We start from the raw sequence: 19,334 nt of genomic DNA, 5'->3' as shown, positions 1-19,334 counted from the left end.
ACAGAGAGGGCAAACAACCTGCTGGAGGTCACAGGGCTGGTCAGTAGCAGAACCACACTGGAATCCAGCTGTCCCCACACCAGTTCAATTTAGGAAGTTACAGCAGAGTTTCTCAGCAGCAGCACTGTTGACGTTTTGGAACAGATGCTTCTTTGCTGTGGCACAGTTCTGTGCACTGTAGGGTGTTCAGCAGCATCCCTGGCCTCTACCCGCCAGAGGCCAGTATCACTTTCCCCCACCCTCCCAAAATTGTAACAGTTAAAAATGTCTTCACGTGTTGCCAGATATCCCCTGGGGGGGAAATTGCTCCTAGTTGAGAACCATGGAGTTACAAAACAATCTCAGAAGGAACAAAGAAGGATGGATTTTTCTTTCAAATAGGATCACATTTAAATCAGTCTAGGCTGAAATATTCCCATTCTGTTCTTTAGGTTCCCCCTAAAAGAGAAGCTTCGATAATCCTTAAGTCAAATAAAGTTCATCCATATACCTAGACTGATTTTTTTTTTGGCTGCAAGTTATACATTAAAATAGACCCTGAACAAATAAAACGTCTGGTTGCAGCGGAACAGGGAGACTCACTTGGTTTCTTCTGGTGCCAGGCCCCGGCAGGCGATGCACATCATCACACCCCCAATTAGTGTGAGGCCTCCAGCGACCCAGCCCACGAACAGAGCCGCACCAAATGTGTACCTGGGTAGGGAGATGGTGGCTGTCAATATGGTTGACTCAACTCTCCAGGCTCCACCCACTGCACCTGGCTGTGCCTGTTCTTTCTGTCCCCACTTTTGGATTCCACATCCATCCCTGACCATGCCCCTGAACACACATTCCTGTGGGTCACAGCCAACTGATCAGGTACCCTGGAGAGTAGAATTGGGACTAAAGTTAGGGGGCAAAACAGCAGGGGGATTCTAGCATCACTCAACCATAAAATTATAAATCTTATCTCTGTGACACATCTCAAGAAATCTCCCTCCCCTCTCTACTGGCAAAAGAAAGTGTCTTGAAGGTTTGGCAAGAGAAATTTGAAAGATATAAAATCAATCTCGACTGGGTACAGTGGTTCATGCCTGTAATCCTAGCACTTTGGGAGGCCAAGTTTCAACTGAGGTCTGGAGTTCAAGAGCAGCCTGGCCAACATGGTGAAACCCTGTCTCTACTGAAAATACAAAAATTAGCTGGGTGTGGTGGTGCACGCCTGTAATCCCAGCTACTCAGGAGGCTAAGGCACGAGAATTCCTTGAACCTGAGAGGTGGAGGTTGCAATGAGCTGAGATTGTGCCATTGCACTCTAGCCTGGGCAACAGAGCGAGACTCTGAAAAAAAAAATCAATCTCAAGTTATTATTTCTGAAGGAATTTTAGTTCTTTGAGTTCTCAGTATGGGCCAACGAGTAGTCATCTTAACTTATCTCAAATAATCCTTACAACCCTCCATGCAGGTAGAGCTATTACCTTCAGAAGGAACTAAGTTGAAGTGACTATTCATTCTTTTATTGATGTCTTTACTTATTTGTTCAACAAGTCTTTATTGAGCTCCTACTATGTGCAGAGCCCTGCCCTGGTACTGGGACACAGGGCGAACAAGGTAGACAGAGACCCTGTGCTCGTGGTGCTTCTGTTCCAGCTCACAAGAGAATTCTAACTTGGGGTGGTCTGACTCCAAAGCTGGTGCCCTTTGCCTAGGGGGGCTGCCTCCAATGGGACTCAATTACATCAGATCAGGATTGGGAACAAAATCTCCTGAGAAAAAAATAATTGTGATCCCAAATGGATATTTTTGGATGGTGGAGAGCAGTATCCTTCTTCAAGTGACCAAAAACTATTAGGATGTCAGTGCGTATTTTAATGCCAGCTGATAACTTGATTTCCGGCTCCATGAGTTCTGCAGAAAAGGAGAGCTCAGCATGGAAAAGGAGTGCCTTCTCTTGGAAGTTTCCCTTTGTGTTCCTCAAAGAGCATGGGGACTGTTTGTAGAACTCTGTGAATTACTAATATGTTTAAAGTCTACGACACAAGCTAAGAACGTTATACCAACAATAGGAAGACAAGTAATATGTGTGCAAACCTCTGCAACCTAAGAAAATACAATACTTTAGATGTGCTTTAAAAGCACACACATTGGCTGGGTGTGGTGGCTCACGCCTATAATCCCAGCACTTTGGGAGGCCGAGGCAGGCAGATTGCCTGAGGTAGGGAGTTTGAGACCAGCCTGGCCAGCATGGTGAAGCCCCGTCTCTACTAAAAATACAAAAATTAGCCAGGTGTGGTGGCAGGTGCCTGTAATCCCAGCAACTTGGGAAGTTGAGGCAGGAGAATTGCTTGAACCCAGGAGGCGGAGGTTGCAGTGAGCCGAGATTGCGCCATTGCACTCCAGCCTGGGCAACAGAGTGAGACTTCGTCTCAAGAAAAAAAAAAAAAAGAAAGCACACACACTTTAGCAGGATTAAAGTAAACAATGTAAGCTTCATGATCAAGTATAGTTGACTGAGCTCAGTCCTTGAAAAAGTTCTGGGAGAACATTTACCTGTAGGCTATTTTTATTTCCTTGGACTGGGAAAAAGACAGAAATTTGGTTTAAGGGCTTCTGCCTTGGCATGAAGAGCCCTGCCCCCTCATCCTACCCAGTGTGGCTGGGAGCTGAACAGCGGATCTTTTCCTGGGGCTTCTCCTAGGGGGTCCCTAGGTGATTTCCTGCTGACAGCTCTGGTCCATGGGCCCTGACACAGACAGAGCCCCTGTCCTTGATACCCCTATGGATGGTTGAGTGATTGCTTAATGCTAATGATGATAACAACAATTGCTACCATTTATTAAGCCCTTACTGATATTGTGATAAGCACTTTTTTACCACTATCTTGTTTAATTCTCCCAATAGCCACTGTGATAGTATTTGTCACTTGCATTTTACAGATGAAGAGATTGAGGCTCAGCAAGGTTAAGTAACTTCTCCAATGACCCAGGAAGGACACGATATCATCAGGATTCAAATTCAGGTCACTTTGCCTTCAAAACTCTCATTGTTAATGCATCTTCTGAGCATGAGGGACAAAGTCCTTTTCCTCAACTTAGACACTCTGGGTCAAGGTTAGCAAACCTAAATACTTACCTGGGACAGGCAAGAAACTTAAATGTGAAGTGAGCTAGATAGAAGAACATATTTCATTTTTTCAACTGTAATATATGGGAAAAATCCCTATAAGCATGAGTTGGGCTATTTGGGCATAGTGGGGATTGTGGTAAACTGGACAGAGTGAGTCCTAGCCAAAAGGGCAGCTGCCTCTCAGCTGCAGAGATGGAGGTCATATGAGAATGAGGGCCCAGTGTAATGCTGCCAGATCTTCTGATTTTTTACACAAAGCTGGAAAAGCAGAGTATGTGTATGTGTGTGTGGGGTGAAGTCTCCTTGTAGTAGGCACTAGTGGTGCTCTACCCTTTAACCGTTTCTGTGGGTCTCTTCTCCAGCTTGTGTATTCCTTTTCCTTTACCTGCTGGCCCCTGTGGCTGCCTCTGGAATTCTGGCTTTGGTTTAGCCACTGAAGCCACTCTGCCCCCAGGGACTGACTGGCACCGAGGTATGAAAGCTCAGCTCTTTAGTTTGGAGTTGAGACAACTCTGGCGTATAATTCACACTGCACAGCTCTCCTCAGGATCAGGCTGAGTTCAGGGCTTCACCTGAAATCACGCCCGTGCTTGGCTTCCCTTCCTTCCCGTCCCTGTTTCCTTCACCCACTAACCATCTCCCTTTTCTTAAAGAACTCTGGCACTGGGATCCTCTTCTCAGGATCTGTTTCTGAGAAAACCAGCCCTTAACCCTTCTAATTTTTTTTTGTTTGTTTTTTTGAGATGGAGTCTTGCTCTGTCACCCAGGCTGGAGTGCAGTGGTGCGATCTCGGCTCACTGCAACCTCTGCCTTCCAGGTTCAAGTGATTCTCCTGCCTCAGTCTCCCAAGTAGCTGGGACTACAGGCGCCTGCCACCACGCCCAGCTAATTTTGTATTTTCAGTAGAGATGGGGTTTCACCATATTGACCAGGCTGGTCTCGAACTCCTGACCTTGTGATCCACCCACCTTGGCCTCCCAAAGTGCTGGGATTACAGGCGTGAGCCACCGCGCCCAGCCTAACCCTTCTAATTTTTAGAAGTTGGTAATTGGTTCAGATTATAAAATGAAATGTTTTATACAAAACACCTTGCAGACTGTGTACAGTGTGAGGGCAGGCAGTTTGCAGCTCTAGTCAGGGGCTTAGGCTCTGCCACTGTTACATACAACACGGCAATAACAGAGTCGGGGAACAGGAGAAGGAGGGGGGTCCCAGGACCAAGTGGGGCACTGGAACCAAAGCTCCATCAAGGTTACTGCCAAGGTCTTTCTTGGCAGCTGGGCTGTCTTGTAAGACTTCTGGGTGGAGAAAATGAGAAGACAAAAGAAAGGGAAAGACAGCTGCCCATCCATGGAGGGAGAAGTTCAGGAGGCCTTTCAGAATTCTATAGTCTTAATTCCAGGACTGAAGCTGCCTGCCTGTGGGACAGGAGCTGGTGCTAGGGAGATGATGTGAGAGAGTGATGGCAGGCATTAGTGCTAACTGCAAAGTGGCTGGTAGATGGCTCCTCTGGGCAAGGGCAATGACCCCAGGCACCCAAATACTCTGGGAAAGGTGGGCTTTTCTAAGTAGGGTGAGCAATCATTCTTGTTTGCCCATGATAGAGGGGTTTCCCAGAATGTGGAACCCATAATGCTAAAACTGGGAAAGTCCCAGGCAGACTGGAATGAGTTGGTCAACCTACTTCTAAGTTGCACCTGTAACTAAGAGACCATGAGTAGGATCAGGGAAGTTTTTGGGGATCATTTCCTTTACATTCTTGAAATAAAGCAGAAAAATGAATGGGGATTGGAGTTCCAGGGAGCCAGAGGGTAATGGATTTATCACACCCTCCCTCTCCGTCTGTACCCCATGTTGGTGTGGCTGGAAAAATGCCAAGTGCATGATCCAGAGATGACAGGTCACTGAGGTCTAATATTTATATTTCTTCTCAAGAACAAGATCTTTCTTTTTCAGGAATTTGCTCCAGCTTCTTGCTATGAGATCTATCCCTTTAAAGTGACTAAATGAATATGGGCGTTGGTATTGCTTTTCCATCTTTTAAAAGTTCTACTCTCCTTCAGACACCAAATCGTAGTGGGGTTTCATCTCCCTCTGCCAGACTGTACCCCCTGTGAGAGTGGGGACTTTGTATCTCCAGCACTCTGAACATGTCTTGGCTTACAGCAGGTGATCAATACATTTGTAGAATAAATGAATTAATGAATGAGAGAAAGAGGCAGCTATACCAGGAAGGAACATCACTTTTCTCACCCATACTTCACCTTGCTAATTTCTATTCAAACGTTTCCCTGTTCCTAGCCAGGTTCCAGTTATGGACTGTAGATGTAAGTTGATGTTCATTTACTTGCCTGGGTTAATAGTGCCTGTTTCATTGCCACCACAATGGGGCTTATGTAAGAGTGTTAGATAAATACTATGAACTGTCACTGTATTTCAATGCAAATGTCAGATCAGCCTCAAGTCATATCACCAAGGATATTTCACTGAAATGAAGTTTATGAATTTACAGGTGATTGTTGATTTATGATATGGCATGGTTGTCTCTGATAATTTTTGCTATTTCAGGCACTGACAGTCACATTAGGTGCATGTGTTTAATCAGATTCTTATAACAATATTCATCATGGTGAATGCCGAGACCTAGATTAGGAGGTTACCTGGTCTGAACAGTCTGCACCATCCCACCCATGCCGGTGTACATGTTAGCTGTGGACATCCAGAAGTTAGTCACCAGCATGTTGGCAAACACAGACACTCCAGCAATTGCACAAAGACCTGTGGGCAAAGAAAAAGAAAACTCCAGAGTTAGTTTCAAGGGATTACAATGTTTCTGAGGCAGTTTATGCCTAGATGAGTTTAGATGAGTAGGCTGCAGAATATTGTATCCCTATAACCAAGCATTGATTATTGAATTCTTGCTATGTGCTAAATATTGTGATAGGTGCTTAGAATGTTTTATATCGCTAATTGTGGAAGGATATGTGTGTGTACAGAAAGAAATTTTTCATGCATCTTGGGACCAAGGCTCAATATTCCAAATATTTTCAGTCTGGTTCTTTGGTAATGTCAAAGTATCTTCCCTTAAAATCGTTTTCTAAAGCCTCGCCAAGAAAATGCCTTTTAGGGATCAAGTCACATGACTCTTTTAGGGTTGAGAACCTCTTTTTTTTCAGCTTAAGTTAAGATTCAAAAGCTAACTAAGTTTTTTTTTTTTAATAAAAAAATTTTCTTTTAATCGACATAGGGTGTCACAATGCTGCCTAGGCTGGTCTTGAACTCCCGGACTCAAGTGATCCTCCTGTCTTGGACTCTCAAAGTGCTGACATTATAGATGTGAACCACTGCACCCAGCTAAGAACCTCTTATATTGGGGTTGGAGTGGCAGCTAAGAAGGACCTTAGTACTCATGATACACAATTGGACCTCCACACTCAGATCATGAATCTCAGTATGAAAAGTTCTGAACCACATTCAGCAGTAGGGAGGAGTCATGTTTTCTCTACCAGAATAATTTTGCTTTGACATTCGCAGAAGTGGGAACTCCAGGCTCTGTGTTTACCTGAGACAATGAACATGATCCCGGAGGTCAGTGTCATGTTGGCTTTGGCAGAGTCCTCCATGCTGCCAATGCGGATGCATTTCAGGGCAAAGATGGATACCAGGAGGCCAATGGCACCCAGGACGATGCCTACGATCATCAGGGCTCGCACTGCCTGCAGCATGGCTGTGGGACAAGGGGCAAGACACAAGCAGACAAATAAGACCAACTCAGCACACTTGATTAGGCTGTGGTTTAATAAAACAAAGCAACCACAACTAACCTGCACCAAACCTCTGAGAGACAGCAAAGTCCATAAACTGTGAACCTTGCCATTGTCAAAGGATGTGGAATTGTGGGAAATACAAAATACATTGCTTACAATTCTCTGACTGATGAAGGACATGCACTCAGATGTCTTCAGAATCAGAGAATTATGGATGGTTGGAACTTGGGGGGGCCCTTGGATTGTATCTATTTCAGCTTCCTCATTTTTAAAGCTTGATAATCTGGGGGTTGGAAAGGGGAAAATAGTTTGCCTAAGGTAAGAGTTCAAATTACTGATAGAGCTTATAGCTGTGACTTCTAACCTAAATATTTTTCTTCTCTTGTGTTTCCATATGCGCTAAAAGTTTCACATAGTTGTGTCCACTTTAGGAAACCCGGAATTCATTTATTGCATATGATGAAGTCAAGGTTGCTAAGTGATATACCAAGGATACTCAATTTTGTCCCTTTCCAGAAGGAACTACTAAGATTATGGTGAGCTGTAGGTTTCAGATGTATATAAAACAATATAACAATATTAGGCCTTTCATCTAGACTACAGTTTATCAGCAGTTTCCTTTCTAGGAATCAGTCATAGCTATAGGCCCTACAGGGACTCTTCTGCAGTGCCTTCACCTCCAGATATATCCAAAGTTGTTTCTAGTGCATCCTTAAATTGCAGTGACTCATAGCAACAATTGTTTACTGAGCCCTCCTGACTGGCCATGGGATGACAGTAGTTAACAACAGGTCAGACATGGTCTCTGTTGTCATGGAGCTTATGCCAAAGTGGCGAATGACAGTCACTAAGCATGTCTATTACAAGTATAATTAATTTAACAAGGAAGACAAATTAGTCCTTCATGTGTTCCAGAAGGCAAGGCCCCTAGTGTGGTTGGTCTGGTGGAGCTGAACTGCAAAACTGTGTGGAGATGCTTATGTGCTAGACACCAATTGTTTTATCCCTCCAGTATATCCCCTTTTTTCCTCTTAAGTCCGTGATTTCTGAAGGAGTTGCTGTGTCTTACATCAGTGCTTTTCAAACTACTTAAAAATTTAAATTTCTAATCTGTCACAAATTGACATCCTGACAAAATACAAAATCACCTGCTTGAGTGTCACAGGCATGTCAAATTGTTATAAATGTTTAGAAATATTTATTCTTGATTTCGGTACCAGAACTCTTCAGGTGGGTAACACATAGTTTGTGGGCCAGCTTGGTACACAGGCCCTACTTTGAGTAGTAATATTGACCTTGATCTCTCAGGCCCAGACTTTACACCTGGTGCCCTTGACCATGGCAAATTAATCCAGCATGGGCATCTGAGTCAAACTGGGCAGATGAGACCCTTATACAGAATGTTTGTGCTGGACACAGAGAGCATCAGGCCAGTCTCTCTCCAGGGGCTGAAAGTGTAAGATGCTGTCCTTGGGAGTCCGTGGTTTCCTTCAGGTGGTGAGCTGCTGTATAATGGCAAGCAGATGAAACCCAACAGTGAGGTAGAGAGCCCTGACAGTGTTTGAGCTCCTGACTCCAGCTTTTCCTATGGTCCACATACATTCCTTCCTTAGGTTTCAGGTGCTATCCCAGCACCATTGTTATTATTATTATTTTTAAATCCCTACCTGTTTGAACTAATTCAGGTTGGGGTTCTGTTACTTGAAATCAAGTGGTTCTAACTTATGGAAGATGGTTTCATCAGTGTCTAGACATGCTAACCTTTAAAGTCTTATTGTTTTTGGAGAGTTTCCACCCCTCCAGGTTCGAAGCCATTACCAGAGTGCTGCTGAAGCCCCTTGCAGATGTGAGGGGACCTCTCATGCCAAGTCTTATGGCTGCAAAGACATCGCATTCCACAGTGTGGTGTCAGAGAAGAGGTAAAGGGCATAATTTTTCTTTTTTGGGAAATTGCTGATTTTTTTTCCCTAGTTATATAAGCAATAACTGTTCAATATAAAAATTTCAGGATGTATAGAAAACCATAAACAGGAAATGAAAAACAATAACCTGTTATTCCAACTCTTGGAGATAGCCACCTTTAGCATCCTGGTGGGTAGTTTTCCAGGAAGGAATTTTTTAAAAAGGAGAAACAAAACCCTAATGAGGCTCCTCCTGTTACCTAGACCCAAGGGAGCAAGTCAGAAGCCAGCTAGAAATGCAGATGGAGACCTTGCCAAGTTTTAACTAGAAGGGGCTTGTGGGGTACATTCAAAGGAGGTGTCATTCCTACCCTCAGTGAGACCAGTTAATAACATCCAGGCAAAATTAAAATTTGGGAATGGAAAAAAAACAGGAGAAATGCTTAACACTTTTTTTTTTTCTCTTTGAAGGAGATACTGAGGGAATCTGCCTATAGGGCTGTAGGCAAAGGGCTCAGAGGAAACTGTAAACAAAACAGAGTTCTGTCCAGCCCTAGTTTTCATAGGCAGTTGCTACTTTTTAGTGAAAGCTAGTAAGGAATTTTCAGACATTCAAAAATGTAATCCATGGGGAAAAAACCCCTACAATGTAAGTAATAAAATTATCACCCATTTTATGGTTGAAGAAATGGAGACTCACGTGAGGTAACTTGCCTAAGGACACACACCAAGGGAAAGGAGGCAGAGCTGGGAGTCAAATCCAAAATTGCCTCAAAATCATTACTTTTCCATCACAGCACATTGTTTTGAGGCACCTTATTCTGGAAAAACAGGTAAAGTCCTGGCTTCCATCAAGGTACAAGGATCTGTATACTCTTACAGAATGTATCCTCCAAATTTGGAGACTCAACCATAAACTATCATCCTCCGAAATGGATGCTAAGAATGTGGAAGAAAACATTCTCCAAATCTTCTTAGGGAATAAGCTGGCCTGGTAGATTATTTATAAATGTAACTCTCAAGATGACAGCATTCCCATCTCCTCCAGCAGTCCTGGGAGAGAACTCTCTCCAGTCACCTTGGGAAGATTTCCCTCTCCTACAACAGCTAACATCAGTGGAGCTGCCAGCATATTCACTCTAAGGTGTGTATGTATCATAAAGCAATTTTTCATGCCAGAAGAATCGGCAATCAATGAGAAATTTTGAAAAAGGAGAGTTAGATAATGTAGAACTTGTTAAAGTGCCTCCTGCAATATCTGAGGAGCAGAGGCCCTAGCAGCCTTCTCACCAGATATCTGTCTGAAGTATGAATGACAGTGTCCACCTATTCTAGTTCTATCCCATTGATCTCCATATACTTGATTCTGATTCTCTTCTCCTAAAGAAACTTCTGATTTTAACTTTGCTTCTTTGCTGGGAAGAGAATTCTACAAACAACGATCAACAGTCTTGGTCCCACTGGCAACTGTCATGGGAGCAGGTGCCAGTAAGTGGGAGGAAATTGGCTCCACTGCTCATTGCCAGAAACCCCCTATGTCTAGTAATGACCACGGAGATTCATGGTGGTAAACTCACCTTCCCCTGCACCTGCATGGTCCTACCCTCTGGGATCCTAATCTTCTCTATCGATAAGTAAACAGAGAAAACTGCCACAAAGCAAGTAGCAGGTAGGTTTCTCTTTTAGCCATTCTGTCTCTTACTTGATATTCTGATCAAGAGGCTTATCAGCTGATAACAGGTGAGTCAACAGGCTCTAAAGCCTGATTCCCTGCACCAAAGGTGTGACTACAGCATTCTTCCCAATGAACAATGAAGTGTTATCAGACCTGAAGGGTGGGCAGGATTCAGGGCTGAAAGAAGCAAACAGAAAAATAGGAACTCAGTGTTCCCTTCCTGTTGCAAAATACCTTAATTCCCCAAGTAGCTGTGAACTGACAGGTGAGGTGCCCTTAGGTGTGGTTTTTTTTCAACACAGGCTGCACCTGAGCATCTTCTGGGGGAGCTTTTAAAGAAATACTAATGTTTGTTCTCATCCCCAGAGATTTTCATTTAATTATTCAAAGCAAAATTTCAAGGAATAATGTGAGACAACAGCTTTCAAGAAGGGCTCAGCAGAGGTACTCAGAGTGGAGAGTTGGACTGAAAGAGGGTTCTCAGGAGCTGGCATCACTAAGTGGAAGTGGGAGTGAGGATGATGGGACAGCAGTTCACCAGCAGCCAAAGGCCTGGACTGGGGCCCTGGTGGAGTAGGCGGATGGGAGGAGCCATACCTTCAGGCATAGCTTGGTCCTAGACTGGAGATAAGAGGGCTAATGGAGGAGCCCAAAGTCGGGGAGCTCAGAAGATGGTAGTCTGAGGCCAGACCCCAGAGGAAATGCTCTTGAGAATAATATGGGAGAGGCTAGATTCTCTGGAGATTCCAGGGAATCGACACAGAGGTCGTTTGTACCTTGTAAAATTCTACAGAACAATGTGATACCAGGTGAGTGTTATTAGGTAAGTCATTTAAGCTCAGTGAAAACAAGTCCTCAATTCTGGAGGTAGTCAAAGATATCTCTTGCATAGATCTGTGAGGATCAGATGCTACTTGGCATAAACCTAAGCCAGGCTCAATAAATATCAGTTTCCTCTCCTTCCCTAAAAACAACGTATCCCTTGGCAACTCCACAAAGCTTTGACTTGTACTAACTGTATACAAATGTGAATCCTCTCACATAATGATAAAATATGGTTGAGGATTTGAAACAGCCAGGTGTGTGAATTGCTATGGGCAAGAGGGGAAGAAAATTTGAAAAGAAGAAAAGAAAGGCCTGAATCTAGCAGCATCTAAGTAGTGGAGAAGATCAGGAAAAATGGACAGAAGACCCTCAATGAGCAGGGAGCTAGCTGATGGGAGAGGCAGCATAGGTGGGTTTCTATCCTCATTGACCTTCCTCTTCACCTCTGCTATGATTTGAATGTGTGTTTCCCTCCAAAATTTATATGTTGAAACGTAATCCCCAATGCAATACTACTACGAGGTGAAGTCTGTAGGAGGTACCCTCAGGAATGACGTTGAGGCCTTATAAAAGGCCTTGAGGGCCGGGTGCGGTGGCTCACGCCTGTAATCCCAGCACTTTGGGAGGCCGAGGCGGGCGGATCACGAGGTCAGGAGATCGAGACCATCCCGGCTAAAACGGTGAAACCCCGTCTCTACTAAAAATACAAAAAATTAGCCGGGCGTAGTGGCGGGCGCCTGTAGTCCCAGCTACTTGGGAGGCTGAGGCAGGAGAATGGCGTGAACCCGGGAGGCGGAGCTTGCAGTGAGCCGAGATCCCGCCACTGCACTCCAGCCTGGGCGACAGAGCGAGACTCCGTCTCAAAAAAAAAAAAAAAAAAAGGCCTTGAGGGAGCCTGTTTGTCTCTTTTGCCCTTCTGTCCCTTCTGCCATATAAGGACACAACAAAAGGCACTATCTTTGAAGAGCGTGAACCCTTACCAGATGGAATCTGCTGACACCTTGATCTTGGACTTCCCAGCCTCCAGAACTGTGAGAATAAATTTCTGTTGTTTATACATTACCCAACCTAAGATAATCTTCTTATAGCAGCAGGAACCATCTAAGACATCCTCTAAGGTGAGATGCAACTACAACTCTGATGATGTGTCTCCCCACCATGAAATGATGCTGCACCACTGACTAGGCCATCCTAGGGCATGATGCTTTGTGGTAGCTGCCTCTGCCATCTAAATGGGGACCACTACAGCCACAAGCTGAGCAGGCATTCTGGTTCCTAGCTTTTCTCATTGAGAAATCAGGGCAAGCAGCCTCATTTACCTAAGTTGCAGGTTCTCTTGAGCTGTGTAGGCCCATTCTCAGCTCCCTGTGGTGTCTTCTTCATATGTACAATAACGTGTAAACATTTAGATGTTTGTCTACATATTTGAAGAGGCATGCTGATGCTGAAATATTTTTCTCTTTTGAAGAGAGGGAAAGCAGCTTGACTGAAAACCAATAGACTCCCCAACTTTATAACTAACTTATAATCACTTCACCTTCTAGGGCTGGTTTCCTCTACCAGAAAATGGGGAAAGACAAACTGGTTTCGCAACCAGTGAAACCATTCAGCCAATAGCGAGAAATAAACAGACAAGCTCCTTTAAAAATGATACTTATGAGAAGTCTCATTTTTTTCCCTTATGGATTTTTGATTTAGATTTTGTGAAGGTTTTGTGAAACTGTTCTCTGGTTAAATGTGGTTTGGTTTAAAACTTCATTCCTGTGTCTGTAAATATGATTTATAGGTTGATAGGAAACTCTGTAACTCTCCAGTGGCTGTTGTTTTTACACACTGAAGCAGAAAGGGGAAAATGTAGATAGTCATATAAAAAAAAATCAAGACCCTCAGTGCCTGCAAAGGGGCTGGGATATAGTGAGGTGCTCAGAACACGGGTAGGATGGGGATGGGAAGGGAGAACACAGAACCTTAAGTGATCTTTACTTTGGATATTTGAATTCATAAAATGTTTTTGAGTTTGGAGGAAAAAAAGGCTAGAAGAACAAATGTCCTAACTGAGAGCCCCGAGTGATGTAGACACAGCAGTGATGATTTAGTGATACCAAGAGCTAGATCTTGTAAATGGGTCACAGGGCACTTTCTTTCTTTGTTTTTTTTTTTTGAGACAGAGTCTCACTCTATCACCCAGGCTGGAGTGCAGTGGCGCGATCTCAGCTCACTGCAACCTCTGCCTCCTGGGTTCAAGCAATTCTCCTGTCTCAGCTTCCCTAGTAGCTGGGACTAGAGGCGCATGCCACCATGCCTGACTAATTTGTTCATATTTTTAGTAGAGACAGGGTTTCACCATATTGGTCAGGCTGGTCTCGAAATCCTGACCTTAGGTGATTCACCCGCCTTGGCCTCCCAAAGTGCTGGGATTACAGGAGTGAGCCACCAAGCCCGGCCCAGCACTTTCATATAAATGTCTTACTGTGAGGCATTTCACAAATGGGGAAAGTGAGGTCCAGATATGTAGGTGGCCAAATTGTGCCCTTGATTCCAGCTCACTTCCCTCTAACTGTAAGGCTTACCACTTTACCAAATTTAGCCCAAATGTTTGCAAACACTTTAGAAAAAGCATTACTTGACTGTGATGTCAAGCCAGGGACATGATGGAGCCAGGGACATGAGTTTGCCATATCTTTGCCCCCTCTCCACTCTGCTCATTTTTGGCCCTTTGCTCATCCCTTCTACTGTTTCCAGGGAAGGCATGTGTGAATGGGATGCAGGTCATCCATGCTTTAAACTTAATTCATACTCCTAATTTCACATCATTGATTATATTGTTACAAATGGGTCAACCCCCATATACCCTCTGCGCTTATTGTGCTCAAGCCTAGACCAAGCTCTTCAATTCTAAAGGCAGCCCATTCCTGCCTTTAGAAACAGGGTCTGGGCAGGGGAAAAGGATGCAGACTTAGAAGCTTTGCCTTGTGTTCACTTCCTGTTTCTGCCATCTTCTATCCACGAGGCCTTGGGCATGTCCTTCCCTCACCCCCAGCCTCAGTTTTCAACTTTTTAAACCTAAAGCTAATACATATTTTCCTGATTTTTGTAAAGATTAAGCTGAAGAGCCAATATGCAGCTCAATAAATAGTAGTTATTTTTATTTCTGGCACTGTCCTCAGAGTACTGCATGCTGTATTGACTGTGTAGAATACAATGAGATTGAATCTTGAGGTATCAGTTATACAGAGCTGGTAATATACAAGTATACAGTCCTGCTACCACCACCATTTACCTCATTAATCTATCTGTAGTTTATACAATACAACTTGTTGCATTGAATTACATTCTTCTATAGCTGTAAGTTCCAAAGAGACATGATGATACATTTTTGTCAGACGAATGAAAAGTTAAGTGAGATTTTGCAAGAACAGAGATTGCACTTAGGAAGAATTTAATAACTGGCAATGATTATTATAATTATTTATTTATGTATATATTTTGAGGTGAGATCTTGCTCTGTTGCCCACGCTGGAGTGCAGTGGCATGATCACCGTGGCTTTGAATTTCTGGGTTCAAGTGATGATCCTTCTGTCTCAGCCTCCTGCATTTCTAGGATTACAGGTGCAAGCCACTGTACCCAGTGATAATTATGATTATTAACTAAAGTATTATAGGTATCTGCTTTTTGCCTTTCTGTAAACACTTTAAGGCTTACTTCTCTGCTAAAGAGTGATACTTTTCTGGGTTCTAGGTCAAAATTAAACTCTCTGGGAGAATCATTGCAAACTTACATTTCTCCCTCCAGGCATTTCATCCAGCTCCTCTGCTTCAGGTCTCTCTTCCCCAGTTTCCTCGTTAAGCACAAGAAAATACTTTACACAGCTGTTTCTGATGAGAAGTTAGGCATTAGGTCCTGGCTCGTTGTTACTCCTTCCAGCTCCTTTAGGAGCCCCACAGGTGTCATCTCGGGCTGTTTTATCTCCTTGCATTGTTGCCTTTAGCTTTTGAGTTTCTTTCAAGCCTTTTCCTCCTGGTAATCTTCCTGCCCATTCTTACACTCTTTAAATATTTTTTTAAAAATATTTTATTTTTAGAGATGGATGGAGTTTCACTTTGTTGCCCAGGATGGAGTGCAGTGGCATGATCACAGTTCACTGCAGCTTCTAACTCCAGCTCCAGTGATTTTCCTGCCACAGCCTCCTGAGTAGCTGGGATTACTGGCATACACCACTGTGCCCAGCTAGTTTTAAAAAATTTTGTTACTGTAGAGATGGGATCTCATTTTGTTGCCCAGGCTGGTCTTGAACTCCTGGCCTCAAGCAATCCTCCCACCTCAGCCTCCCAAAGTGATGGGATTACAGGGGTAAGTCACCACTCCCAGCTCCTGCCCATTCCTTATCTAAGTCATCAAATAGATATTTGTATTTTGGGGTGCCAATTTGTAGTGTAGCCACTCCTGCTGCATGAGGACTGTCTGCTTTTAAGTCCACAGTCTTCTTGAAGGCCACAGATTTTCAGTGATTTCAAGTACCTCCTTTTCTGCAAACTCAATCCCAAGAAGTGTTTTTTTCTGGCTTTTGGTGAAATCCTCTTCCCTCAACTCAGATAGGCAGAACTGGGGTATACTTCTGTGGTGGCTGCTGGGAACTATCCCCCAGTTCCCATGGTGGTTCAGTCCAGCTTGGTTTTTCACAGCACAATTGGGAGACAGGACACAGAGCAGCACCGACTTCCCCCTCCCCCAGCCCCCTATGCTTGTTGTGTGCCATGCTGGGTTTTGTAGGAGATGCAAGACGGGCACATCAGAGTCCTCTGGCCACAATCTTACCACCGACAGAGCTTACCAATAGATGGTGTTGTGACCAACAGTTTCCAAGAGCCCTCAGTGCATGGCTACTGGCCCTGACATTCACATTTGCTGTCCTCCAGCTGGGATTTGAGGAAAGTCATTTCTTCCAGCTTCCCTAAAATCCTTCTCAGAGAGCCAAGGACCTCTCCTTTCGTGGGTCTGAAACATCTCAGGGTTCCATGAGTGGCAACTGGCTTCTCTCTCTAAGAGCTCTTTGTCTGGCCTGACACGGAATAAAAGTACCTAGCATCACCAATTCTCCCACCTCTCTTCCTCCCTCTCTTCCTCTCTACTTTCTTCCTTCTCACCTTCCCTCCCTCTCTCCCTCACCCACTGTTCCTTTCTTCCTCCTTACTTTTTGAAAAAAATGTGCTTTCCGCCCCCACCCCCATGGCCATATTTACATTCCTCTGTTATTAAATGTTAGGGAATTTTTACATTGCAGAAATTTACCTTAAACCCCTCCTCTTTCCTGATTCCAGGCCATCCCCACCAAAATGTCTAGCTCTGAAATTACACGCTATATATTATCTTGTGTCAGATGATAGTTTACACATATAATTCTATCATATTTGTTTAAATATAAATTAATGGTATATCTTCTTTTGCAATCTCATTGGTTTTGACTATTTGATGTTCAGGGAATTATCTGTCTGGCAGAACTGAAATTAGTGTGGTTGATGTGTTGCAGCCCAGGAAGTTACTACTCAAATGCTCCCTGTGGTAGAGACAGTAGGTGCTCACCCAATAGCTATGTGCTCCTACATCTCCCAGCTCCTGGGGCCATATGGCTAGTTGTGGCCAACGCACTGTGAGTGACATGTGTTCCTTTCAGATTGAAGCAGTTAAGAACTGTTGTGCCTCCTTCAAGCCTTTCTTCTCTTGCCCCAGCAACTTTGAAGAGTGTAGCTACAAGGAGGCTGCTCTTCCCACAGTGGACTTTATGTGGGCAGGAAGTAAACTTTTGTTGTGTCAAGCCATTGAGATGTTTAGGTTTGTTTGTTGCAGCAGCAGACATTAACTACTCTGACTAATAGAGTTCCTGAACTCTAGTCTCTGCAACACAGTAGGCATGCAAGAGATATTTGTTAAATACATGATTGGATGAACAAATGAATCTGTTCCAGGCAGGAGGAGGACCAGGTCCTTTTCTATATATGGAGCCATAATAACAAAAAATTTATAGTACAAAAATGATTTACTGTCCTTTTTGGGGAAGACCTTAACCTGTTTTTAGTTCAATGGCTTGCATAAACACTTAAAATGAACTATTCGTACTATTTAATTCAACTTAGTTTATCAATCCTTTGCTAAATACTCACTCTACCAGGCGCTTTTCTGGGAAATGGGGAAATAATTCTTATCCAGCTGAAGGGAAACACCACATAGAAGCTGAATGACACAAATGTACAAATAACCAAGTTAGTAAGCTAAAGTTCAGACTCAAACAGAACTCCCTTAGCAAAACTGTCCTGATTTCCTCCCCTCCTGACTCTTCCTACTGAATAACCACTTTCTTCCTGGGCTCCAAACACTTGTGTCAAAGCCCCATGACATGTGTTGCCTTTGCTTTGATATTCACACACATGCCTGTCCCCTCTGCTGGAATTTACGGTGCCGACAAGGCCAGTTTTGTGTTGTGTACTCTTTGTAGGTATGCAATAAATGCTTCTCAGATTTGAGAGCAGTGTCACGCGGGGTGAATATGCTCAATGCTATGAGAATGCTCTGGGTTTGGTACAGAGACTTGTGGAATCTTTATTCAATTTGGGGGCTTGAGGAGGTTTGGAGGAAGATTTGTGAGAGGACAGTTGGGGTGGTGGAGGGGGGAATTCAGGGGAGCAGGAGCAATGGATGTCCAGGACCAAGTCCAAGGTATACTGAAAGGACAGAAGAAACAGGATGGGGGAGTAAGAGACTGCCAAGGAAGGTAGGTGAGGGGTTAGGAAGGCTTGGTGTCAGGCTGTTATGTGTGCACCTAGTTAAGCTGGGAATGGGGAACCGTGGAAGTTGTTTGGGTTTTGAAATGTCTAAGGAGATGAGAACTGAGAACTAGGAGTTGGTGACTGAAATACTCCCCTTCATCCTCTGCTATGGTCAAAAAAGCAAACATTCTATAGAGATGAAGGATAGAAACCAGACTGAGAAAGGTTAAGGGTGAGAGGTAGTGGAAAAACTTAGTCTTTTAATTTGGTTTGTCAGTGACCCAGGAGAGAGACAGAACTTGACAATGATCAGGATCAACAGATTTCCCCAGGAAGGAGGCCATATGCATAAGTGAGGAGAAGAGATGAAAGAGGCAAGGAGGAGAGGGGCTGACCAACAGGGCATGATCCCAGACAGGTGGCATGAGGCCTTCAGAGCCCTGCTGGGGAGGTTGACCTTAGCAGGAGAGGTTGACCTTAGCAGGAAAGCAGGGAAGATAATCTTGTTCCATCAAGGGGGAGAGGTGGAGCTATTCTGAGAGGGTGTCATGGAGATAAGATCCGTTGACAGAATAGGAGTGACAAGTCACAGTGGACGCAATGGGGTTTGCCCATTTAGGAGAGTGGGAATATTCAGGAGCCCCATGTATGGAGACTGTGATACACAGTGAGCAAGAGATTGATAATATGTAGTGGGGCCCTGGGGAGAGGTTATTGAACATGAAGTCATAAGACATCATGCCTTAATTTTGAATATGAGGACAATATTTTTTCTTTATATGATAGTTAAAATTAGACATAACTAGCAACTCAACACTCTGTGTGGCATTTCCTGCATCTCACCTCTCCCCTCCCACTACAGCATAATCCCTCCTCAGTCTGGTTCTCTTTCTTTTGGCCAGGTTCTACCTCCCTTGCTTCCCTAAGCAGGTCTTTCCCCGGAGTCAGTCATCCTGTTGGTCCTGCAATAAGTGGCTTCCAAAAAATGGAATAAATAATCAAATTCTTCTACTCTGACACCCATCTTCTATTTCTTTCTGAAAATGAACTTGGATTAGTTGAATTGCTTTTCACAATTCAATTCAGTTTCAAGGGCTCTACAGCCTCTTCACAATTTCTTGCAAATTTATTTCCATCTACTTGTTTATAAAAGGTATTTGTTTCAGAGACATTGTTCTCCTTTCTCCATCACACTCACATCTTGGCCACCCCTTAGAGCCACTAATTAGCTAGAGCTATTATTTTCTTGTTTGCATTTTAAAAATACAAATAGAGCTCCCATATTATTCAGAATGCAAA

General features: G+C 43.9%; 1 protein-coding gene and 1 long non-coding RNA gene across 4 annotated transcripts in view, besides 1 other annotated feature; one reads left to right on the top strand and one right to left on the bottom strand.

The window, feature by feature from the left end:
- CLDN18 (claudin 18) overlaps positions 1 to 19,334 on the bottom strand; it is a 34,834-nt gene that overhangs the window by 3,160 nt on the left and 12,340 nt on the right. For both annotated transcript variants that reach the window (NM_001002026.3, NM_016369.4), the window contains exons 2-4: positions 6,668 to 6,832; positions 5,766 to 5,883; positions 583 to 693 (exon numbers count right to left, since the gene is read on the bottom strand). In NM_001002026.3, the coding sequence (NP_001002026.1) occupies positions 583 to 693; positions 5,766 to 5,883; positions 6,668 to 6,832 (394 nt within the window). The remainder of the gene's footprint in view (positions 1 to 582; positions 694 to 5,765; positions 5,884 to 6,667; positions 6,833 to 19,334) is intronic.
- On the top strand, positions 6,831 to 12,924 carry LOC105374127 (uncharacterized). 2 transcript variants are annotated; one of them, XR_007096112.1, is made up of 3 exons: positions 6,831 to 8,791; positions 9,822 to 9,917; positions 12,211 to 12,924. It is a non-coding gene; the product is annotated as an uncharacterized LOC105374127 (long non-coding RNA). The 2 variants fall into 2 exon arrangements; XR_924534.3 differs by having other exon boundaries at positions 6,831 to 9,917.
- Positions 8,287 to 8,495: a silencer, noted in NCBI's record as "fragment chr3:137740837-137741045 (GRCh37/hg19 assembly coordinates)". NCBI's record gives its function as "represses an EF-1alpha promoter that drives an FKBP-Casp9 reporter gene in an ReSE screen in phorbol 12-myristate 13-acetate-treated (for megakaryocytic differentiation) K562 erythroleukemia cells {active_cell/tissue: K562(+PMA)}" and the evidence as "EXISTENCE:reporter gene assay evidence [ECO:0000049][PMID:32094911]".

The sequence above is a fragment of the Homo sapiens genome, chromosome 3, assembly GCF_000001405.40.
Source record: "Homo sapiens chromosome 3, GRCh38.p14 Primary Assembly".
Lineage (NCBI taxonomy): Eukaryota > Metazoa > Chordata > Mammalia > Primates > Hominidae > Homo > Homo sapiens.
This window is presented reverse-complemented; position numbering and strand designations above follow the sequence as displayed.